This window comes from Homo sapiens, chromosome 2, assembly GCF_000001405.40.
Source record: "Homo sapiens chromosome 2, GRCh38.p14 Primary Assembly".
Classification (NCBI taxonomy): domain Eukaryota; kingdom Metazoa; phylum Chordata; class Mammalia; order Primates; family Hominidae; genus Homo; species Homo sapiens.
This window is the reverse complement of record NC_000002.12, coordinates 17,233,080-17,259,597: the sequence shown is the minus strand read 5'-3', so window position 1 is coordinate 17,259,597 and position 26,518 is coordinate 17,233,080. Positions and strand designations below refer to the sequence as shown.

General features: G+C 37.2%; 1 annotated feature.

Annotated features, from left to right (window-relative positions):
• Window positions 6,799-7,998: an enhancer, noted in NCBI's record as "MED14-independent group 3 enhancer chr2:17432867-17434066 (GRCh37/hg19 assembly coordinates)". NCBI's record gives its function as "activates an origin of replication core promoter dependent on BRD2, BRD4, P300/CBP and CDK7 cofactors, and independent of MED14, by STARR-seq in HCT116 cells {active_cell/tissue: HCT116}" and the evidence as "EXISTENCE:reporter gene assay evidence [ECO:0000049][PMID:35650434]".

Here is a 26,518-nt window from a genome sequence, read left to right as displayed (position 1 = left end):
AGACTTTCTTAATCCCAAGGAGAGCCTGGGATTAAGCTATAAGCTTTACCAGGCAGGGCAGGGCCTCATCTCGTTTCTATATCATTGTGCCTCTATCAGGGGATTGCCAACCAGCCAATATTTATTGAATCTGACCAAAATTCTATACAAATTAGCTTCGATATTTTATACCCACACCTTTTATGAATGTATTTTCAACTAAAGAAATATGTCATAGTTATTTGGTACCTGTGGGGATAGAAAGGAGGAGATATGTATTTAATTTGGGTATGATAAAACTTCAGTTAAGTAACAGAACCCAAGTTATTAAAATCATTGCCTTAATTTCTTCTTTAGGAAAGAATGAAGAATAAAAATACAAATAGGTTGAATAAAAATAATGCATTTCATAATGTTGAATAAAAATAATGCATTTCATAATAAAGGGATACTCAAAGTCTTATGATGTAACCTGTATTTGGCCTAATTCCCCAATCAGAAACTTCCAGAGTGAGGATTTCATGGTCTGGGAATGTCTTTACTTAGGAAAGAATAATTCCACAATGTTTGTCCACCTGGCCTTAAAGGGCAACGTGGTAGAGTAAGTTCCTTTCAAGTGATTTTCTGTTGCAAGGGCTGAAAAAAAGGATGGTGTGATTGAGAATGTAGGCTGAGGATTCTGCAATTTGGGTTCAAATCCTGGTTTTGTCTATTTTTCAAAGTCAAACTTTCTGAATTTGCTTTCCGCACCTATTTTCATGGAGAGATGATGTGAGAATCAAATGAGATGTTATATATAACGGCATAGCTAAGTTCCTGACTAGAATGGGCACTTAATAAATGCTAGCTTCTATTGCAAGCCAGCATAACGATGTGGATTTCCTGATCAAGCTGCTTTATCTAGAATGCTTTATAATAATAATTCTCTTACTACACTGTTGATTTGGGAATTTACCCTGTGTGTGCATGCGTGTGTGTATGTGTCAAAAAGTGTATACACACAGCAAAATCTTACTCTTCTGAAGCTGTCTCTCAGTAACTGCATCTCATCTGAACTACAGCCAGGAATCATGAACCATGTATAACCAGCCTTTGCCTAGGCACAATGGATGTGGCAAAACTCATGGACTAAAGCATAAGTATTTTTCTCAGATGAGAGCCCCTCTGGTGCTCATCCACTTGTCCTAGAGGACAGACGTGGCATCTTACTCATCTTTTATTCTCTATAGCATTTTCTGGAATATTGTTTGACTTCCATGTATTTGGTAACTCAACATGAATTATAGCTTGAGATTTGGTTTCCCATGGCAGAATGGAAAGAAAAAAATGGAAAGAAATATGCCATTTTTAGAAACAGGTACATTGACAGCAATGAAAAGTAGCCACTAGCAGTTCTAATTTTAAATATCTTATTCTGACACAAATGAACCAAGCAGACACAAGTGCCCAATAGGGCTATTTAGTTCAGGGGTGAATACCATAATATACTTTAGAAGGCTTGAGGGCATCAACAGTAGACAGCACTATGCTTAATACTGCTAATAAAAATCCTCAGGTGGCAGGAAAAGGCTAAGTCATGTTCAATATTTGGAAGATTGATATCTCAAATGTCATTACCTAAAGCATATGATATACATATATGCTGAATTTTTCTGGAACTCACAAGTTTCAGGGTGCAAAAGAGATCATAGTAATATAAACTGAAATTTCACAGGCTTGTAGATAGACCTACAGAACATCGTACCTTTGGCTCACTAAACTATTGCCCTCCTATGAATTTCTAGAAGTCCCTGGGGAGTAAGTTACTAGTTCTCAAGAAAAAAGTCTGCTCTGCTTGGGTACAGAGTTTACTTTGTCTGTCACTGCAGTTTTTCTAGTTATTGCTGTTTCTCTACTGGGCCCCATAGTCTCTGCAGGTCTCCAATGTCCTCTGGGAAATTTAAGCTCCCTGGGGCACAGTGTGATACTATAGTTTCTGTTGAGGACTCCATCAGTACACTTTAGCCTTCAAGACACGAAGGCTGCCCTGTAATGCATGGTCAAAGATGTCCATCTCCCTCAGTGCTCCAGCAATGCATGTAGCTCCCAAAGTTGTACAGAACTTTAATTAAAAAGCTTTTTCATATTTTACTTATAACCCCTCTGTTTCTTAAAAGATTTAGATCTGAGTCCAGTGAGGACTGAACCAGAAGACAAAGCCTAGTAATCGTCACCATGCTATAATTAGACCCAACCTTCCTCTTGATGACTCAGAATTCACTTATTGACTCAATCTCAGGCTTTTTCTTTCCCTTAGGATTAGTCTCAAAAGATTCCTTATTCTTCATGAAAATAGTCATCTCTCAGGCTGCCCCATGGGTTTACCGACATACTCAGATAAATGGGAATTCTTTTCTTTCTTCCTTCATCCTTCCCCTCTCTCCTTTAAAAATTTTCCTCAACAAATATTTCATGAACACATACTAGATGCCAGGTACTATTCTGGGTGATAGGATCACGGCAACAAACAGAACACACAATGTCTGGTCTTTCGGAGAGTCTTGTGGGAGAAACATAACAATAAGCAATGAAATATATGGGGGTATGTACTGCAAATTGTTAAATCTTTATATTGCCTTGATGCCTCAACATTCCCACGAGCAGGCTATGAGCACCCTGCCTGGTTGTCCAGGTGCACCAGTATGACAGACAGGGCTGTTCCCTTCCAAAAGGGCCCCTTCTTGCCCACTCCTGAATGGGACCTAATGACATTCAACCACACCAATGAAACCCCCTTGTGCCTTTGGCTTGTGGACTCCATTCTGACCCCCAATAAGGCCACTTGCCCACAGGTCCTCACTTTCCCCTGTTCAGCTCGCCATCTGCTCAGTTGAGCTCACTCCCTGGGAGCTTCTCTCAAGTGGCCCCTGGCATGGCATGGTGTGCCTCTCTCCTCTAGGATCTGTGAGTATAATAAATCCTCTAATTTCATATGCCTCTCTGAGTGTGATTTCCATGGCTATTTTGAAATGATTCTTAAAGACTCCATGAGGGGGACTTACTTCTCCATTTACAACAAAGGATGCTATTTAGATAGGAAGTCATAAAGACTTTCTGGATCAGGTGCTATTTCAGCAGCAACATTAATAAGGAAAGACAATAAGGCAACAGGTATCTCAGGAAAGATGATTCTGCTAGGAGGGAGCAGTAAGTTCAAGAGCCCTGGGGCAGGAACATGGCTGGACTGTTTGAGGAATAGCAAGGAGGTTAGATTTATTGGAACAGAAGGAGTGAAATGCAGAAAGAGATAGAAGAAGAGGTCTGAAGGTTACCCAGGATGAAAACGCAAGTGGATCATTGTATAACTTGGTAGTACGTCAAATAAATATAGATTAAAAAAAACCCTTGTGGGATCTTGAGCAGAAGATTCACAAATCTCTCTTGCCTTCTAAAAGGACCACTCTTTCTGCTGTGTGGAGATTTGATTATGGGAGGGAAAGTGTGGAAGGAAAGAGACAAGTAAGGGGGCAATTCTAAAAATTCAGGTGAGAGGTGATGGTAGCTTGATTTAGGTGACAAAAGTGAACAGAGGTGAGCAGTGACCTATTTTTGGATATAATTTGAATGTAATCAAATACAGAATTATTTTAGAAATGAAACATTTTAACAGATAGGAGAAAAACTGGTGATTCAAGAGTGATTTCATTGTTGTTGGCTGTAGACTGGAATTTCATCTGCTGAGATTGGGGATATTGGAGAGCACCAGGCAGAAACAAGTAGAATCTCAGCTGGGGGCTTGGACATGTTAAATTTAGGGCATTTATTAGATATTTAAACAGAGACGTGTTAGTTTGCTGGGGCTGCTGCAACAAGGTAATACAAATTTTCTGGGTGGCTTAAGCAACAGAAACTTACTGCCTCACAGTTCTGGAGACTAGATGTCCGAGATCAAGGTGTTGACTGAGTTGGTTCCTTCTAACATCTGTGACAGAAGGATTTGTTCCTGGCCTCTCACCTTGGCATGTCAGTGGCTGTCTTCTCTCTATATGTCTTTATATCATCTTCTCTCTATGTGTGTCTGTGTTCACATTTCCTCTTCTTGTAAGTATGCCAATTATATTGGATTAAGAGTCACACTAATAATCTCATTGTAACTCAATTACCTCTATAAAGATTTTCTATCCAAGTAATGTCATGTTCTGAAGTACTAAGTATTAGGAAACATGGATTTTGGGGGGACATGATTCAATCTATAACAGATGTCAAGTAAGCAGCTGGATAGATGACTACGAAGTCCAGGGAGAGGTTGGAGATAAGATGTGTATTAGCTTTTATCTGCACATAGATTGTATTTGAAGCCCTGAGGCTGGGTGAGGTCACTATCTGAGAAAAGTGGAGATAGAGAAGATGTCTTCAGATACTCCAATATTCATAGGTGGGTGATTCTGACTACACTCACTCCGAATCTCCAGTTACATTCATTTTCATAAATTCTAATTTTACCTTAGATTATTGGGTCTGGGACTTTCTGGGCCATGCAGAGTTCAAGCCAATGGGCCCTTTCTCAGAGGAGAGGGGCACTTTATGCTGTGGTAAGATCAAAGCAGACACTACTTACATGGAGAATGAAGGTTCTGATGGACTCTGATGCTAGCGGCTGCTGCTTTCTTAAAAAGTTCACTTTTGGGCAGTTTTAGCATTGTCCTTGAAAATATAAAGCACATTTTAAAGTACATTAAGGAACTTTTCCTTGACTGAATGATAGCCTTGATAGAAAAGGAAGCGGGAGACTTGTTTCAGATGTGCAACTCCCACAATGTCCTAGAAATGAACTAAAAAATATAGCCCTTTTCTTTTCATCTTTTGTTACTTAGTGACACATAACAGACCATTTAGCTTGTTTTGAGAGTTCAGAATACCTGCAAAACATGGCTTGGCCATATTCCTGGAAAGGATGTCTTCATTCAGCAGACATTTACCGAGTGCCCTCAGCAAATTGTGATTCTGGGTAGTATGACTACACGTCTAGCCTAAGGGGATAATGGGATGGTTTTGCATTCTGGGATGATTATTAACACAAATAGCATATTATGATAGGAAGAGCATGGAGCTGAGACATGAAAATTCTCTTCTGAGACCTGACTCCAATCTTGTACATGACCATTGACAATTCACTTATGCCTGCACTTTGCCCAACACATGAGGGATGTGCACTTGGATGACCTCAGAGATTCCTCCTAAATCTAATGTTCTATAGTCTTATGACTCAAAGAAAAATAAATTGCCTCTAATTTTTAAAAGCTATTGCTACTTCCAGGGGACCCAGACATTTGGCCTAGTTCTCTGATTTGATGTTGGCCCTGGAATGACATTCTGAGTGGGAAGACAAAGAGTGTTCCTGTTAGCAAAATAACAAGAAAGTTTCAAAAACAAATCCTCAACACCCTAAACCTTGTCTCCGGTGTAACTTTTTGCTTTTGCTCTTCTACACCCACCTTGTACTTGGTGACTCACATTCCATTACAATGTGTTTAGAGTGATCTTTCTGAGTGTTAGACTTCAAAGTGTTCAACTTTCTTGAGAAATATATTTAAAACTATTAGCTTTGATCTCATCCACAGACTATCACTTGAGACCATTTTCCTCTGTTTGGGTGCAGTTTGAGGACTCCTTGTTACCTTCTCTCTTCAGATTGACATCCAGAGGTGTGACTGTGTATGCGAAAGGCTACGCAGGGAGTACTCTTGTCCACTTTGTGACGAGGAGGCCTCACTGTCAACTAAGACAACACCTTTAATTGCTGCTTAGAATCTAAAGTTCTTCCGGGCTTTGGTTTTTCACCTACAATGTTGGGTGCCTTCTGTTGCTGCCGTTCTGGTTTAGTGACAGATAAGAGGTCATATCCATTTAATGGCACAGAAAGCCACCTGACCGGTGGCAAACACACATGTTGCCTCATGCCTCCCATGCCAAATTCCCCTTTCTTCACCTGCAGTCATCATTTGCAAACTCTCTTTTGATGAGGCTGTAACTTTCCATTTGCTCTTATGAGTTCATTAAATTTAAGGACTTAAAAGGTTAAAGCTGGCAGTGAACTTAGAGATAATTCGAACCATGAGAAAACACGTCTAGAAGTAAAGCAGTTGCTCTAGGTTGCTCTGAGACAGGGGTGATGCCAGGACTAGAAACAGGCTTAGGGCTCTGGTGTCATTCTTTTCTGCCACATCTCTCTCAGTGTAGCCTGAAGCAAGAGGATGAGAACAGACTGGGGCATAGCCACATATTGCCTCCCAGTGAGTTCACTTTTTTCTCCTAAATGGGATTCTTTATTTTTGACAAAATAATAGGTTCCACTTAAATATCCATATTTTTGATATTTATTTTTAAACCTCAAGGACTAATTAAAATGTTAAATACCTCTTGCATATGATGACGTTGAGGAGATGTTTTATGTTGAAGCAGAAGTTTCTTTTTGCTCTTTCATTGTTTCTCAGGGCTCTGCATAGCTTCTGGGGGTTTTGCAAGCCAAGCTGTTTTCTAAAGATAAATGAAATTTACTTCAAAAGCGTAGGAGTGTGATTCTGCCCCAGTGTCACTGTCTTGTGCCTATAGATCTTTCTCTCACAGGTGCCCACCTAACAATGTAGCACTGGGATTTGTTTCAAGAGTTAATCCACAAAGGAGACAAGCTTATTGAGAAACCCTTCTTTTTAGTTTAGTATTTGGCTCAGAAGCCTATATGAATCCTCCACATTTGCTTTCCACATCACTCCATCATGGGCTTCTACACTTTTGTGCACTTTCCTCTAATATAGCACTTACCAATATCTATGTATTTATCTTCTCTCCTAATGTTCAATGGCTTTTTTTTTCTTTTTACAGAGTTTCGCTCTTGTCGCCCAGGCTGGAGTGCAGTGGTGCGATCTCGGCTCACTGCAACTTCTGCCTGCTGGGTTCAAGTGATTGTCTTGCCTCAGCCTCCGGAGTAGCTGGGATTACAGGTGACCACCACCACATCTGGCTAATTTGTTGTATTTTTAGTAGAGACGGGGTTTCGCCATGTGGGCCAGGCTGGTCTCGAACTCCTGACCTCAAGTAAGCCACTGCCCTTGGCCTCCCAAAGTGCTGGGATTACAGGCGTGAGTCATTGTGCCCTGCCTATTCTGTGGCTTTTTGAGGTCAGGGCTCAGTTTCTTTTTTGTAGCCCCAGAGTGCTTATTAGCATAGTGCTTTAGAAGTAGTATATGGTTAGCAAATATTTCAAAAGTGACTAAATCAGCAAATGTATAGTTGTGTAGGGCAAGTGTTAGCTGGTTTTTCTGAGAATCAGGTGTCAAGACAAGATTATTACACAAAACATCTGGAAGAGAAAATGAGGAGGGAGTCAGGTCAGGAAAGTGTGGGAGAGAAGTCGCCCTGTGATCTTGAGTGAAGGAGTGAATATGGGGTGAATAAAAGCATCCCAGACTGTCCTGAAGTCTAAGGATTGGGTGTAAAGGCATTGGAGACTCCTCAAGGCATTGGAGACTCCTCAAGCCAACTTTAACCACCCAAACAGTCCTAGGTCTCCCCAGAATGGGCCTGTACCTCTGCTGCTCTCAGGCATTGGCTGGCAACAGCCGGTGGGGAGAATGGCCTGGGTGCAGCCTTTGGGTAGACTTCAGAGCACAGCAGTTGGGGCCCTTGGTCAATTGTTCCCCCTTTAATTGGAGGTCTGGAGGGGACATCCTTATGGTTGAGGAACATATGGAAGATTTTTACCAGTGATTGTGGTATCTCCTTAGGTGGACGGGAGTTTTCTGGAATGCTAGGAAGCTGGAAGCAGAGAAATTATTAGAAGGTTCCCAGTCACTGGTTCAGCTTTCTCCACCCAGTTGAGGATTGGTTTTACTGGTGCTATTTGTGTCAAAAAAACAAGATGTCCTGGTGAACAAAAATATAAGTGAATGTAAATATAAATATAAATGGGAAGAGAACTGATTGCTTGCGTAAGCTGCTCAGGCATGGTGGTGCCTGCCTGTGGATAAGGCAGGGGTATAACAAGAACATGGCTTCCTTCTTAGTCCTAGAAGCGCTTCACCTGTCATTGGAGGCAGTAAGCTCGGTTGGAAACAGCAGATAAAGGAAAAGCTTCATAAAAGGAGGGCATGCGGCATCTGCTTTGTGTAGTCCTGTGGCAGCCTTTCTTTGATTAGTTCTGAGTTCTTGGCTCAGTGAATTGGGAACTGAAGCCTGTGCATGTCAGGTGGTCTCCTTCTTCAGTCTCTCCCACCCACATGGCCGCTGTCCCTTTGGTGTTAGTCTCTGCCTTTTATGGTGCTTTCATTCTGCCAATTTTGTCTGGCCCTTATTTTTTTTTCATCTTGGCTGACTTCCATGCATTTGATATTCAGGTCTGGTTTTATAGTTTACTCACATGAGCTCAGGGCCTGGAACATTAAAGATGTCCCCAAATGATAAAAGCCACGAGGCCCTTTGTGAACTCATTCCACTTTCATAAGTTACATCTCTGCATTTTTTATTTCACTTCATCATGATACTTGATAAGTATTAACCGTACCATTTTTCTTTCTGAGTGGTTCGGTGGACGCTATGAACTATGCTTATGATTTCAGGTGTTGCTTTAGCCAAGTGCATTGAGCACCCACTATGGTCAGGTGATGTCCTAGGCCCCTGAGAGACTCAGAAATGGCCCTGCCAGAGAAGAGCTCACAGGTAACGATTTCATGGCATGTATTTCCAGCCCATTTGGGCAAAGTAAATGTCAAGGGAGGCAAAGAAGATACGATGGCTTCTGGATGGGCAGTCAGGGTGTGCTTGATGAGGAGGGGGCGTTTAAGGTGGCCTTTATGGAGGAGTAAGACTTGAATGACTGGTAGTGAGGATGAGTAAGCCACCCAGGGAGGTCCCAGTCCAACAATATTGTAAAAGCAGTCTGGGAAGAAGTCTTGGGCCCAAGTGGTAGCGTTTAGACATCACTTGGAGGCTCTTGAACCCAGGTCTGCTTACCCCTGAAGACTTTTCTGTTGCAGTGGCTGCCTCTGCAAATAACTTCTGTTTTGTTTGCTTGCTATTTATATTTGAGGTTTTGCACACGGTGGCTGATTTTGATGCTTGCCTTTTAAAAGACGTGCCTTAGTTATTAGTAGATTCACTTTTTAGTGATTCAGCCAAAATAGACATCTGTTCATAGGCAAGCGTAGAATGAGAGGTACCTCAGTTTTTCTTTTTTCTCAAAAATGCATTCTTAGTAACACTAGGAATTATAAGCAGTACATTAATTTTAAACAAGACACAGGAAATAACATTTGATGAAGGAACAAAGAAGAAATAAATGTTAATTTTAAGTTAAGATTCCCTCTTTTCTATTTAAACTATTTTTCCATTAGACTGCCAGGCTCTCAGTCTTCCTAAGATTTCCTTTACCAGGGCAGGTGCATTAGGCCTCTGGAGTCTGAAGCAGAGCTAGTCATGGAGGACTCTGAGAACATGGTGTTATAAAGCCTCATGTGATTTATACTCGATAAAGCTTCTTGTTCAAGCTGCACAAGAACTAGCTCATTCGGAGACAGTGTGGTGCAATGGTTAGGGTCAAGGACTGGCCCTGCCACTTAACAAGCTGTGCATTTTGAACCAAATTATTTAACATTTTGGAGGCTCAGTTTTCTTCTCCATAAATCAGGAAGAGTAATCATATCTATATCATAAGTCTGTCTTGAAGATTAAATAGACAATTATATATGTATATATATGTGTGTGTATATATATGTGTGTGTGTATATGTGTGTGTGTGTGTGTGTGTGTGTGTGTGTGTGTATATACATATAGTGTTTACCACAGCCCTTGGCACATTGTAAACATTTCATAAATATCAGCTACATTAGTAACATTATTTTTACTTAGACCTGGCTTCCTCTGCAGTGAGGAGGAAATTTTTTGAGTTTCTGGCTTTCCTAGGGAGCTGCTGGCAAGTTGTTGGAGCGGTCAATACTCCCATTTCCCATCCCTGGGGTGATAATGGACCACACCAGTTGGCAGAAAGAAGCCGTGTTCCTAGGGAGAGGGATCAGTTGTAGGTTAGACACACTGCCTTGAAATCACTTGGTGAGATTGTTATCATCTCGATTTAGACACGAGGAGACTGAAGATCAAAGACCTTAGTGCACATCGCTTGTGCCTGGTGGATCATATTCCACTCCACTCCATCCCGTTGTTGTTAATACACTATAACTGAATTGACCTGATTTAGTTAACTCTTGTTCCCAGTCATCTGCCCTGAAGCAGTGGCACCGTCATGTGGGTTTCTGACGCAGTGCTCATCTGCATTGCTGCTTTGAGTGGTTCCCCCATTTGGTTGGTATAGACAAATGTCCTCTGCTCATTTTTCATGGCTTGTCTTCCGTCAGTGTCCTCTGTCCTTTATCACGGAAGAGGTCTAACTCTATTTTCTAGTCAGCTTGATCTTTCTTCTTATGTGTCATTAGCATTCATTCTAGGTTTCTTTGAGATCCAATTCATGATTCAGCCATTTTTATACTTCTCAAAACTTTAAAACATGCATTTTTCAGAAAATAAAAGCTCATAAATACATAGAATTCTTTAATCAAATAAGAGGATGCTTAGAAACATATCATACCATACATAAAAATGTGTATGAGCTGTCATATTAAGGTCAAAACAAGCCATAGATATTTAAGGTTATATATTGTAGAAATTCTAATTTTTATTTCATAAATTTTACATAGGCACTCAGAAATATGAGATTTATAGTCACTATGTCCCTGAATTATTACTGGTAAGATCTCATCAAAACCTTGCCTTAGGAAATCTGTTTGTGTGTTTGTGTGTGTGTGTGTGTGTGTGTGAGAGAGAGAGAGAGAGATACAGAGACAGAGATAGAGAGAGAGAGAGAGAGAGAGAGCAGTTGTATGTAAGGAAAGGTATTATGTTTGTCACATAGCTAGTAAGTGTAGAACTTATAAGCTATGGTCTGGTTGGCTATGTGTTCCATGCTCATTGAAGGATCTGGGTTCCTTGTCTTCTCCAACTCTTCACAGATTTGCCCTTGAAACTCAAGTCTGGCTTTAGACAGGGCATTTCTTTTCAGATCCAATTTCCTCACAGTAAGCAAAATTAACTAGTCTGTGGCCTCAACCATACCACTGCAGTTTACTTACAGTATGTGGAGGAAAGAAATAATAGCCAAAAGCAACTCCCTTCACACAGTCTCAATTTCTCTAGAACCCTCAGTTTCAGATTTTTCTTTCTTCAAAATTTATTAGGTTTATAGCTCCATTCAGACCTTCCCATTTATTGAATGTTTGTGGTATCAGAGAATCTCTGCAGATCGAAATGTTCTCTAATAGTTTTACTATACTCAACCTAAGTGTATTATGTTGAAAATCAGAAAGGGTTCAAAATGAATTACTTAAGTCATTCCCTATTCTCAAAGATCTTACTTTCTAGTTTGGGACACAGGATGCATAAATGTTGTAATCAATATTCAATGAGCATTTTCTATGTGATAGGCACTCTTCTAGTTGCTACAGGTAAGAGTGCCTCTAATCTTTAGAAGGATCATGTAATGAAGATACTATTATTACCATCTCCATCTTACAGACAAGGAACTTGAAGTACAGAGATGTTAAGTAACTTGTTCAAGATCAAATGGGAAGTAAAATGCTAGAAATAGGATTTAAACCTGGGGAAACTTCATGTCCAAGCCCACACTCTTAACCCCTGTATTACTATGCTGCCTTTCCTTAAGCAAGGCTAAATCACATTACAGAGTGAGTGCATAATAATTGCTGTCTATTAAAAGGTGCTGAAAATCTGATTTAGATGAGTGCAGAAAGTGGAGAGCTAAAATAATAATTCTTCACATCTGCAGAGGTTGATATAATACACCTCCATTATCCCTTTAATTAATCCATTCCCAGATGGGAGCTATTCAAGTGAGAATCCCACAAGTACACTTAAAACACCCGTCTGGCTTTCTGAGAAATTATAAAGTGATTCACTGATCTGTAGTTTAGAGAACCAGGCACCCAAGCAACTTCAGCTGTGTTGGGAGCAATACTTTACTGCTTTTTGATTTCTTATTGGTAAAATGGACCCAATACCAGGATACAGAGAAGGTAATTAAACTGACAAAAAAGGAGCTTATTGAAATTCCATAATATAAACCTAAGAGATATACATTATATATGTATGTTACCAATACAATGTCTAATAGCTTTCTCTCTTTGAATCTGGTATGATAATATTTCTAAAGCCTATTTGATTTCTGGGCTCAGTCTGTGAATTTTCTATGTCTTACAAATCCTACTTCCAAAACATATCTACTATCTTGATTCTCTTTTTCCTTCCCATTGAGACCTTATTATGTTAGAAGACCAAGACAAACTGCACTATTTTCCCAGAAGCTTCTTCCAAGCCAACATAAACATATATACAATATTCACTTTTCCTGAGTCCCAAATATATCAAATATGACATCCTTACATAAAAATTTTCGATGAATTTAAATACAAACTCTATGGCACATCAGAGTTTATGTTTTATCGTCTTCTACACACGGACTCTTCTTGAGCTCTACAGAACTTTCTCCCATGTGAAACAGACCCCATGTGTTCCCTCTGGCTGAAACACCATTCATCAATTTCACTTCCAGTCCCAGAAATTACATTAATCCACCTAGGTCCATTTCAAGTGCAACTTTCCTTATTACTCTTCCAAACAGGTATAATCTTTTCCTCCCTGGAGCATGCATGTCACATTTTGTGTTTCACTGCTATGACACTTTTTAGTTTTGCTTGTGTTAAAGGAATTGTAATGATCTCACCCCTTCTTTAAGATACTGAGCTCCTGGCAATGTTCTTACTCTACCTTTTCCTGTGGTGCTGAGCACAAAAAGCTCTCACTAAATGATTGCCAACCCACTCTCAATTTTCTTTTCTGCACGCTTCATGATGACTTCTGTTTCTGAGAAAGTTTTAAAGTGTAAGACATTCGCCACTATTTTTTTGCGTTAAACAAGAATTTGCGTATGAAACACAGGTTCCTCATTTACTATCTTAACTGAACACAGAGAGAGGTGCATCTGTAAAATTAATAAGGCTCCCTGGGACCTGAAGGACAGGAAAGAAACTGCAAGGGTGCACAGTATAATCACAAAAGTGAGGACTTTTAACTTAGATCTTGAAGGATAGGCTGACTGTGAGCATCTCTTTTGATGAAAGGATACCTGCTTTACATGCAGATGGTGTGAAGGTTACCCATCAAAATGTTTATGAATAGTTAACACAATAGAAATGTTCACCGTTAGCATAACAGTGTACCCTTATAACCTATTAAGTAAACTCAGTGCTTTCTTTATGAAGCTAAATTAACAACCTTTTCAGTTTTGTCTTATTTTTAAAAAGCAAGCATTTGAAGCCCGCATTATTTTTTTTGTTGTTGTTGCTCAAGAAGGGAGCTTTAAAATAGCCCTCTTCTTGGATTCATTGCATGGCAGCAGTCCAGTTTCTTAGGCCATTTATGGATTAAGCCGTAGATCATGTGGAAGTATTTTCTGAAAGCTAGCTTGGGGGCAGCAATAAACTGCATTTTATGGTGTAGGCTGCTAAATGTGATTTTTTTTCTGTGGTGATCTGAATTGCTTTTGTCTTCCCAATTTTGTGGCACAGGTAAGTATTGGAGCACAAAAAAATGCTTGAAATGCAGTGATTACTTGGGAAATAGAGTTGAGCCTGCCACAGATTTTGGAAGCAGGTATATAAGAGTAGAATCAATGTATAAACTTGTAAGAGGTAGGTTATATCATAAAGTTTATGTTTATAAATTTTTAAGTTGGGTGTAATAATAATAATATCCACTGCATAGCATGATTGTGAGGACTAAATGAGATATGGTACAAAATTAGGATGGAGCTTAGATCATGACTATATATTAACTTCAGTATTAAATAAATAATGGTAAATCTATATTATAGTACACCATACAGCATTTAAATAATATTAGAGAAAAATATTTAATGACACAAACGTGTAAGTAGAAAAGCAGGTTACAAAATTGTCGGACCTGTCTTTGGTAAAAATATGTAAATGAGCTTAAAAAATTAATTTTTACCAATTATTGAAGGGTTTATATAGGTTAGTAACAATCTAAGAGGTCAAGGCAAGGCCATGTGCTCCAGAAAGTCATGATCAGAACTGACTCATTCATGTCCAATGTTGTTTGAGTTACTAATCTCTTTACCTTCTGGTGTGTCTTACTATGGTCTATAATTTGGATGAATTTTCTGTCTTTAACCTTTGATGTCTACCTAGCCCAGTTTAACATTTTTTATCTTTTCATTTCCAAGGATTTGAATTGAGAGAGAGGGGAAGGGTGTGCTTAAATCACCATCTTTTATTTTATTCTTTTTTGAGATGGAGTCTTGCTCTGTCACCCAGGCTTGGGGGCAGTGGCATGATCTCGGCTCACTGCAACCTCTGTCTCCCAGGTTTAGGTGTAAATCACCATCTTTAATCCAAAATCGATAATTTGTGTTTGTGTGATTTGGGCTGGTGGTGTTGACTTTGTATTGGAAATCTTACTGAATCCTGCCAATAGCTTCAAGTAAATGGGTATATTTATTTATTTCAAGAAGCATCAGCTATTCATTCACAAACAAGAAAGAGCAAAGAACTTGGAGACATATTCTGAACTTATCTGACTCCAGATTTCCCTGCACGGAACAAGACATTTTGACCGAAGTGGTTGTACTTATGACTACTCCCTGCAATGTACAGGATCATGATAGGGACGACAAACTGTCCCCAGATATTTGTTCTTCCTCTTCTACATTGTAGAATGGCTACTGGGAAGTTGCTGCCAAGTCCAGAATTGTAGATCTGCCAACCCACTCCCACCTTCATGTGCGGTCACATGACTGGCAAATATGAGCAAAAGTAGTCTATGTCTTTTCCAGACCTGCTCCATCAACACTTGTGTGCCTTTACACTTTTTCTCTGATGGTTGCCTATAACAAAGAGGGTGACCTTGGGGACCACATGTTCTCAGACAGAAGATTCTCTGAGAGCCTGGATCCTTGAATGATTGCATGGATCGGGGCCACTCCATGGACCGTTACAGTAGCCTAAAGCTGTTACAAACATCTATTGTAATTGAGCCAATATTTATTATAAGGTTTGTTTGCTATAGCAGTCTTCCTATCCTAATCAATATACTGGAGTTTGATATTTTACCTTTATAATATTTTTTCCAAGCTGTGAACACATGTTGAATTTTCTTTCATGTAATGAAGAAAAAAAAAATTAAGCTCCAATATCACACTGAGTATTACAATTTCTTAGCTATATACTTGGTTATCTATGAGTTTACTAGCAGCTCCGACAGAGGTTCTCAAGGAACTCTCTGGACCTGTTTTCATCTTAGAAAATCTTCTGATCAAAGTTCTTAAACATATATTTAAAGTGGGTTCATGATAGACACAAACATAAATCTTTTGAAAGTAATTTCCTATTTTTCTCACCAAAAAAATAATCGCAGGATGTGGAAGAGATTAGAACATAGTCAAAAGGACATAGTATGAAATGACCTTGAAAAGCAAAGTTCACTTCTTTCATCAACCTTCTCTCTTAGCTTTAGTGAGATATTTCATTTTACAAGGAACTATTTTGTGCACTAAAGTGGAATGCATAATTGAAGCTCCCTGAGAAATTCTTATAGCATTTTTTGTTGTTGTTTTAGTTCTTAGCTGACTGCCAAGACTTGAAATAAGAATTATAGAGTCTGCATAATGTTAAGGGAAAATTTAGGAATGGGCTATATGATTACTTTTCAAATTTTAATTTTTTAATAAAATAGAGAAATGAGAACACCTTACTTTCTTCATTGTGTAAGTTCTGAAAAGACACAGGCACTGTGATCCTTTAAAGATGAAACATGTCATTTACCGAGTCCTAGGAGATACTTGGGTTATTTGCCAAGCTTTTTCTTGGGATTAATCTTAATTCTAATTTCAAATATTATAATTTTTTAGTTGTTTTGCATTTTCTGAACTTCTTTATCTTTCCAAAAAATAATGGTTAGTTTTCGCTTTTTCCTGCTGAAACTAATTTGTTTTTAAGTTTGGTTGATTTAGCTAAATGATCTCCTCCCCATAAAACCTGATGCCTTATCTCAGTCCTTTCTCTTTTTGACCACTCAGAAACATTCAACACCTTTTTGCTTATTTTTTTACCTTGGATTTCCTGAAATATCTCAGGTCTTGTTCTTTTTTCTAGACTCCAGGCAGGGTCAGGTGTTCCTCTATATTGTAGAGCTTAAAATAAGCCAAGTGCTGTCAGTGTCAGTCCTGAAGACAAATCAAGAAAAAATATTTCTTTCAGTTTCTGAGTCTCTGAAAGTCAGAATATAAGCATTAGTGAATGATTAATTTCTTATGAAAAAATTCCCCTTAAATAAAGACATGTTGGGTTTTATTTCAAATTCCACCTACACTGCAAATCAGGAGCGTGTCCACTACAGGAAGTGAAGACCCATTTTTATGCTTCCTGCCAAGGGATGTAATGGCTCATCTCTCAGGCAAAACTCCTTCATCAGTGAGGTGCCGTTTATGGAAACGCTTCTCTTTTGCAGACACTAGGGGCTCAGTGTTGTGGTCAGTGATGAGTGGGGAAAGTGGGAAGAAGGAAGTGCAGATATTAACACAGCCTGTTCTATCTCTTCAGAAGGCATACCACTTATTAAGGATAGAACAATGATTACAATAACCCAAAGACAGTGTAGAATTTAATAAGTGATGTAACTGAGAAACTAAGTCTTATTTCAGAAGGCAGTGAAAGTTTATGTCTAGTTGTGATAGAGCAAGTTTCCTGAAAGTAGAGGCATCTGACAATGGAGAATGCATATAATATAGGCAAAGCAGGATGATGGCATTGATATTGGATTAAAGATAACAAAATCTCCAGGGGTGAAGGGGGTGATTATATGTGGCACATTTGTATTGCTCCAATTGGCCAAAGCTGAAAGTGAAGTGGAGAGGGATCACATCAATGAGAACAGGTCCTAGGGGTTCCCATATGGTAGCTTTTTCTATCCATCCTTCAAAATCCAGCTTAGGTATCATGTCTTCTACACAGCCCTTCCTGGTATTCTTTTCCACCTTCTGAATCACTTCCTGCTCAATCTCACCTCTATATCTTGCACACATGTCTACTGATACTTTTGCTACACCATGTTTATTTGCTGGTATGTCTCTCAAGATGGAGAGTTCATTGAGACAGAAGCAATACCTCATTTCTGGAAGCAGGATGACTGCCTGCTGTTTCGGAAGGAGGAACACAATAAATATTTGTGAAATTCAATTAAGTTGAATCAGCAGAACTTTTGGTTTAAATTCGGCCTTTTCCTAGGGTACTATCTAGTTAAATGTGGTTAAATGCCTCATGAGGCTATTAAAGGCTGTGATATAAACTTTAATATGCATATTTGATATTAGTGTACACTTTAAATACAGGCTTGATGACTAAGTAGATCAACTGTATTGAGTAAAAAATGTATTTAATAAGGAGCTGTAATTTTACCAAAGACGTAAGTGGGTAGCTGGAAACTATTTCATAAAAAAACACCAGAAACATGGAATCTTCCCAAAGACTAAAAAGTTACAGAATGATTCACCTAGAAACTATATAATTATTTCAGCTATTAAATTTTTTTTTAATTTAGAGCAATTTCTATTTAGAGGGCAATGTATAGCAGGGAGACATTTGTGTGCCTAGATGAAATAGACACATAATTCCTCTCATTTAAATCACTTTAGATCATATGACTTAAATCTTTTCAGCTCAGAATAAAAAGTGGTATTAAAAAAAACTAGAGGTTATAAGAATTAATCACTTTTTAAAGCCTAACTTTGTGTTTGATGACTCATAAAGTTTTTTAAAGTAAGTTTTAGAATAAATTAGTAAGAAATTGAATGTTGCCACCAGGCAAACCATTGTTCCCCTACCAGCCCTGTCCTGGCTTTTTGGCTTTGTATAAATTACTTAACCTCTCAGAATGCCAGTTAACACATCTGTAAAATAGTTATAATATATATATTCCAGGGTTATTTTAGAATAAACAAGATAATGTGTGTAAAACATCTTGCCCCCGGTAATCTGCTGTCTGTGTTTAGAAAATGGCAATCACTACAACAGATGCCTAGAAATAGATGATGATGGATACTTGTTAGCAGAAAGAACACCAACAAGAAGTAACGCATGTTTTTACCCAGCATTAAGGAGAAAAATCTGAGGATAATGTGAGAGGTATGTGGGATTATTCTAGTAACTCTGAATGGTGCTAATCCAGTGTACATTATTGTAGTAGTTTCACTTATACCATGGAAACATCTCGATTCTTACTCCCCATGACTTGTGAAGGGGTTATTCTAACTTGGAATACCAAACCCACATGCAGATGCTCTGACCAATAAGCACATTTTTAAAATCAACAGCAGTTTCACTGGCTACACCCTTGTTGTGAATCAACTGATACAAGAGTGAACAAATGGTTTTTATTGTTTTAAAGTTGTTGAGTGACAAACCATCCCAGTTTGCCAGGTAGGGGATTCCTGGGACAGAGGACTTTGAAGTGCTAAAACCGGAAAAGTCCTGGGAGAATGGAATGAGTTGGTCATCCACTAGGGGATTTATATTAGTCTGTAACGCAACCAGACTTGTGTGGTTGGGTGGACAGGGGAGATCTGGTCGTTCAAGGTTCTGTAAGATGGGCACCAGGGGCTGCTGGCCTAGTTCCCTACTTTTTGCTAATCAGCATCTCTAAATATGTGTGTGTGTGTGTATTTCCTTTGGTTACAATAGCAATACATCTTAAAGATTTATTTAGTTTTGTTATATTATAGATTTTAGTTCTCTATTTTTTAACATTTTTCTTCACATCTTAGAATGTAAGATAGAAATTTTTTATCTAATTTGTTTGTCTGGCAGATGACAGATGTCTGTAAAAGAAAAACGAAAATCATTCATCCAAACCCATTACTTAAAACTCACCGGGCCGGGCGCGGTGGCTGACGCCTGTAATCCTAGAACTTTGGGAGGCCGAGGCGGGTGGATCACGAGGTCAGGAGATCGAGACCATCCTGGCTATGGTGAAACTCCATCTTTACTAAAAATACAAAAAATTAGCCGGGCGCAGTGGCGGGCGTCTGTAGTCCCAGCTACTCGGGAGGCTGAGGCAGGAGAGTGGCGTGAACCCGGAAGGCGGAGCTTGCAGTGAGCCGAGATCCCGCGGCTGCACTCCAGCCTGGGCAACACAGCGAGACTCCGTCTCAAAAATAAATAAATAAAAATAAACAAACAAAAAAACTCACCAACAAACCAGAACAATTACCTTTGCTATTGCTTCATATTTCTTCCTGGCCATTTTTCGAAGTGTATTTGTTTTATATTTAGAAGTGTTAAGTATATGTGTGTAGCTGTATTTTTTTTATTGTCTAAATCATTCTGCCTGTGTAATTTAATATCATTTCCACCTAAGTGTAAGCATTGTCTCAGGTTAATCAGAAGTCCCTGGTGAATGTAATATGCCAACTGTGTGGAAGGTAGCATGAATATTTAGCTGTTCCTTTGTTGTTAGTCATTGAGGTCTTTCAGTTTTTCATTCTTCTAAATATGGCTAAAAATATCCTTAAAATTTTTTTTTTTTTTTTTGCATTTGGGATTATTTCCACAGACATGAAATTAATTGGCCAAAGGTAGAATTTTGATACATATTGTTCAAATTACTTTCCAGAAATTCTGTACCTATCCACACTCATTAAAGAGGTATAAGATAACCTATTAAATATTATGATTTGAATAATAATTAAATATTAATATTTAAATCATATATTATTCGAATAATATTTAATATTTAATAATACTTTATAATATTCAAATAAGTTGTGATAGTTTGGCAGATGTCAACGTTTGTTTTGTTTTACTTTACATTTCTTTAAGTCTTCTCCATCTCAATATCATAAAAAGTTTTTCTTACGTTTTTTATTTTCTTTTGACTACTTAGGAAAATAAATTTATCTGGACTTTATTTTATATAAGGTATGATATAGAGACTTACCTCTTCTTTTTCCCCTAGTAAACCACTATTGTAGAAGTATAATTTATTAAGTAATATGTCTTCTTCTTATTGTGTTTAATTTATAATAAATTATTTTATATATATGCAACAATTTCTGAATTTACAATTCAGTTTCACTGTTGTATTGTACTATTCCAGTGAAGTTGTAGTACTATTTTAATCACTAGAGATTAAAATTATGTTTTGGTGTAGGTTAGTTACTTTTTATATTTCAAAGTTAAAAAAATATTTTCTTACATATTTCATTCTGGATGACTTTTAGAATCAGTTTCTTTATATAAAGAAATATCTCCTGCCATGATTTTCATTTGAATTGGTTAGAATTTGTGCATTTGCTTTAAAAAACAGAATAATTCTCCAGGAAAAATATATAGTATTTGTTTTTCCCCTGTCTTTGTTAAATTTTTATAGTTTTCCTAGCATTGTGCTTGCCTTTACTTATGTTGTCAGGTGTGTTATTCCTGAGTATTTTGTGGGTTTTTTTCAATTGTGCTTGTTTTTATATGTCCTATTTGGAATGCAACCCAAGTTTTTCCCATTATGTTTTCTAATTCATTTATACCCTCCTGCAGTTTGCACTATTTTTGTCATGTCTTTTAATGTTATTTACATTTTAAACTTCACAGGTATTATAATTATTTTGTATAGTTAACATTTTGTCAATATTCATGTACATCTACTTACTTATCTATTTTTCTTTTTTTATTCTAACCTGCATTTACTTGATAGGCTCTGGGATCATTTTTCTTCCATTGGAACACCTCTCTCTAGTGTATTTATTTCAGTGAAAATTTGTTGGTGGAAGATTCTCTCTTTGTCTAAAAACACCACCAAATTCAATAACACATCAGAAATATGAAACACCATGTCCAAGAGGGACTTATCCCTGAGGTGCAAGGTTAGTTTCCACATGGAAATTAATGCTATACCTCTCATTAACAGAATGAAAGACAAAAACCATATGATCATCTCAAAAGATGCAAAAAATAAGCATTTGACATAGTTCAACATCCTTTCATGATAAAAACTCTCAACAAAATAGGTAAAGAAGCAAATTTCCTCAACATAAGGAAGGCCATTCATGAAAAATGCACAGCTTACATAATAACCAGTGGGGAAAAACTGAACGTTTATCTTCAAAGATCTGGTGTGAGCAAAGATGCCCAATCCCAGCACTTTTATTCAACTATCCTGGGAGTACTAGTGAGAAAATCAGACCAAGAAAAAAAAATCCAAACTGGAAAGGAAGTAGTAAGATGTTTGCAGTTGATATGATCTTATATATAGAAAACTCTAAAGAATCCATAAATTATCTGTTAGAACTGATAAATGAATTCACCAAAGCAGTTTGGGGCCTTATAACTACAAGGTTCTGTCTTATCAATAAGTGACTACTGTCCAGTGAGCTTGTAGGTTATGTAATACAGTTTCTAAATGACTACACATCTAATTATTTGAACCATTTAAAAAACAATTTTACATGTAAAACTTTAAGCTTAGAGCAGGTAGGCTTTTGAGCTAGTGGGTCTCAGCCTGTAGTGAAGAAATAAACAGTTCATGGGCCAATACACAGGGGTACTTTAGACTCATTTACATAGTAGTCTGCAAGTTCCTATGTTTTGATTTTTGTCTTTTGAGAGCACTGTATAAAGGTCATTTTACTTTTCTGAGATTCCTCTTTCTTAGAAGTCATAGCCTTTCTAGTTATTGTTGTCCGAGCTGTCCTTAACCAGATAATTTTTTTTTAATGTGGCTGTTTAAATTGTTCTATGAGGCAGCAGTAGTCTAATGTCAACTAGTCTATTCTAAAGCTGAAAGTCTTTATCTATTAACTAGTGAGTTTAGTCTGTTTATGTTTATTGTGATTACTAATATATTTGGACATATTTGTTATTTCTATGTGTCATTTTTTTATTTGTTTCTCTTATTTTGCTTTGAAGTAACATGTTTTATTATTATGCCCTTTTCCTTTATTAGTTTGGAAGTTATATGTAGAGTTTCTATTTCTATTCAATTGGTGATTACTCTCTCACACATAACTTCATATTGTAATCAAAATACAAATTATATATGTACATTTATTTTAATCAAAATCTAAGTTTATTGTTTTAATCACAACCCCAATATATGTATATATAAAATCTTATACTGAAGCTCCCATCTCGACAACATTCTTCCCCAACACACACACATAAGCCCACAGATAGTCTTCAATTTTATTTTTAATTCCATAGTGTTTTTAAACTTACAGTAATAGTTAATTTTGCTAAATATATATTTAGGCTTGCCAAATATTCTGTTGATATCTTTGTACATCATTGCTTCTTATATCCCTTTTCTCCCTTTCAGATTTTTAGAATACAGACTTTATTGATTCTTTTAGTAGAAGAATAGTTTTGAATAACAAGTTCTCTTAATCTTTAGATGACACAAAGTGTTTTTATTTTGCCCTCAATTTTGTCAAGCTGCATATATATTTGACTCTGGTAGTTATTTTCTCTGAATATATTGAAGTGTTTTTGTTTTCATTTTCTTCCATTATTAACAGAGGCTGATAATGTTCTTATGCAAGTAATCGTTCCTTTCTCATTAGCAGTTTTAAACTCTTCTCTTTATCCTTGAAACTCAACATTTCACTAAATATATGTAAGAATGTATTTGTATTTATTTGTACTTTTTTTCTGTGCCTTTTAAATTTGAAGATTTAAATCTTCCTTAAATTACAACTATTATTTCTTCAAATTTCTTCATATTGCTTCTCTTCCATTTTCTCTACTTTTTTTCTGGAACTCATGTAAAAGTTATATCAGAAATGACAACCGTTCTTCATGTTCTTAACTTTTTTTTATTACATTTCTTACCTCTAAGATTCAGTACTATATTTTGGTTATTTTTCAGATATCCTTCCAAATTTATTATTATTTTCCTGAAATAATTATATCTCCTAATGATTTTATTTTTTTAATTTGTAGTTTTTATTTGGCTTCTCTTGTTCTATAATCTCTCTTTCTTGCCTTTTAAATATTTGTATCTTATTACCCTAAACATTTTACACACACCTACTTTAAAGTTCTGTCCATTTATTCTGTTATCTTTATTTCCACAATGTGACTCCTTCTGTTTGTGAATTTCTGAGGCTGTCTTGGTGTTATTCTTTATCATAACTAACACTGGAGATGCATATTATAGAATTTCTCTATATATGCTTTTGTCATTGAAAGATTCCCTGTGAAAAGATCTCACAGGTGATTCTGCCCAGGTTCCATGGGATTCTTCAGTATTAGCTAACTTTTAGGCTAGGTTCTTAACTCTGGATTTTAAAAAGTATTCAGTTAGTATAAAGTTGGAAAAAGAGCAAGTGGTCTGATTTCTGGTCACAATTATCTTTTCCAATCACAGCCTGGGATATACTTATTATTTCTTTAAATGTCTTCATATTTACAAAAATATGGCTTTCATCTTTCTTATGATCCTAGGAGGTAGGTATTTTTCAGTTCAGTTGATGCTCCCTTGTGGATCCTTATAACATCTGGGAATCAGACTGTAGCTTCCTTGTGGAAGTTAAAGCCCCAGCTCCTAATGTTTGTTTCAGATTCCAGTCCCCTAGGCATACTAGACCTTCAAGCACTGGTCACCACCATGCCTAAGGTTTATTCTTAATTCCTGGGACCTATAAAATTCCCCCTCTGACTTATGAGCAACAACAAAAAAATGAAGTCTACCTGTAGTAGTTTGAAGTTAGAGGGAAAGCTCTTGTGTGTATTCATGCTGCTATCTTACCCATAAATTTCTATTAAAGGCCATTAAAACACTGCCATTAACTTCATTGCTAAGATTTCCTTCTATGCAGGTAGTTTGACAAGTGCACAAAAATAAGTTCTTGAGTATGTCCATTGTAATACAGAAAAAGTATAATGACTCTAAATCTCCTTTAATAGGAACATCTCTAAATAAATGATGTAGAGGAATATGATAGAGCCAGCAGACATGCTGTAAAATTATATTTATTTTTATGGAGACATGAAAGCAATGATTAAGATGAAGATGAAGATTATAATAGCTAATTCTTACATGGAGCTTGCTCTGTGCCAGGCACTATTCGAAATGCTTCATGTATGTTAGCCCATTTGATTTACTCAACAACCCCAGCTGGTCATATTATTTATCTCCCATTTTACACACAAGAAGCAACAAACCATTAAAATGTCATGGTTTGTGTAAAATATGGGAACCTGCACACATATTTATAAAATATCCTTTTGGAGTGAAGAATAGACAGGGGAGAGTAATAAGTGGCTGGATAACAGAGCTGGGAGGGAGATTTTTAAGCTTTGATCCATCTAAATGTGCTACAATCTACTTTAAAAAGAAATAAGTAGCAGTCAAAAATGGAGATGTTTACCTGGGCCTGGACTTTGTGTTCGTGTGTATGCACAGAAGGAATTTTGAGGATTTCAGACAGAGAAGCACATGGACTCTATAGGACTGGGGCATAGATGAATAGTATTGATGACTACTAGTGAGTATTTGTGACTGGCCAAGACATAGAGTATGAGAAGTGGAAAAACAAGGGCATACTACGGATGCATTTATGCTCAACACAAGTCTTTTAGGACACTCTTGATATTACTTATAACAGATTTTCCCTATGAACACAGTACCGTGTGATAGCAGGTCTTTGCAAATATTGGCACAGCTCTGATTTACTTCTGTTCCCAACTCTATGTCGTCCTTCTCTTTTTCTGAAGTTTATTTATGCATTGCAGAGAATAAATCACATACTACATTTGAATAAAATCACCCTGACAAAAAATGTTTCCTTTTATCTCTTATCCATTTAAGGAACAGCAAGTCATTGCTCTTCTTATTTCATGTTCTTAGTAGATCACTTATGTTTTAGTTTTAAAATTCTCATTCTTAATTGGTTCCCAAGATACTTCTAGAAGTACAGTTTGTTAAACCTCCTGTCTTGAATGAGGGTCCTGGGAATAGTAGATTGTTTTAAGGTGAAATATCGTCAGTATGCAAGTTTATTCTGGGAGGGAAGCTGATGATGACCATAGGGAGTACTTGAGACTTGAGATAACCTTGATGATATCCAGAGATTATTTCTCTTGGAAAAAAAGTGAGCATTCTGGAAGTTTTGGTGTACTATGGAGAGGCAGCAGGAAAAGAGAGAATAAGTACTACCTGCTTAAGAATCACAATGTGGTGGCTAGAACTGGCCAAGCTTTTGATTAGATGTGTGTTGATATTGCAGTTCTCCCCAAACATGTACCTTTATGATATGGCTGCATCTTTTGTATCAGAGTAAAGGGTTTCATGCTGTATTAGAACAATTTTATTCTAATTTGAAGGATGCCTCTGAGAGTGTCAGCTGGCATCTATGATAATATGGGCACAGGACATTGGTGGGTCACAAGACAAGCCTTAGAGGCTGCAAAGAGTATTCTGGTTCTTCCTGGGTGTCTAATTCTGGGAATCTGACTTCAGAGATGGTCTCATTACTGTGATATACAGCTACAACCCTGATGGTGGATGAGAAAGCATGGAGACAGGGAAAGGGACTTGGAAAGTGTGACTTCCATAGTGCATGCTTCAAGTATACTAATAGTCTATTTGTTCACCCTTACATTAACACCATATCTAGTAATTACTGTAGTTTTATAAGAAATCTTGATATTCACTTGATATCCATTTGAGTCAGTTCTCGGACATCATTCTTCTAATTATCTTGGCTACTCTTGACTGAATTTCCACATCATTTCAAAATGTCTGTCAATTTACACAAAGAAATTGTTTTTGTTTTCTTTTTATACTTTTATTTTAGGTTCAGGCATACATGTGAGGTTTATTATATAGGAAGATAACATATCATGGGGGTCTGGTATACAGAAGATTTCATAACCCAGATAATAAGCATAGTATTTGATTGGTAATTTTTTGATCTTCACCCTCCTCCCGACTTCCATCCTAAAGTAGGTCCTGGTGTCTGTTGTTCCCTTCTTTGTGTCCATGTATATTATTTGTAAGTAAGAACATGTGGTATTTGGTTTCTGTTCCTGCATTAGTTTGCTTAGTATAATGGCCTCCAGCTCCATCCATGTTGCTGCAAGGACATGAGTTATTCTTTTTTATGGCTGCATTGTATTCCATGGTGTATATGTACCACATTTTCTTTATCCAGTTTACCTTTGATGGGCATTTAGGTTGACTCCATATGTTGGCTATTGTGAATAGTGCTGTGATGAATGTATGCATACATGTGTCTTTATGATAGGATGATTTATATTCCTTTGGGTATATACCCAAGAATGGAATTGATGGGTCAAATGATAATTCTGTTTTAAGTTCTTTGAGGAGTTGCAAACCTGCTTTCCATATTGGCTAAATTCATTTACATTCCCAC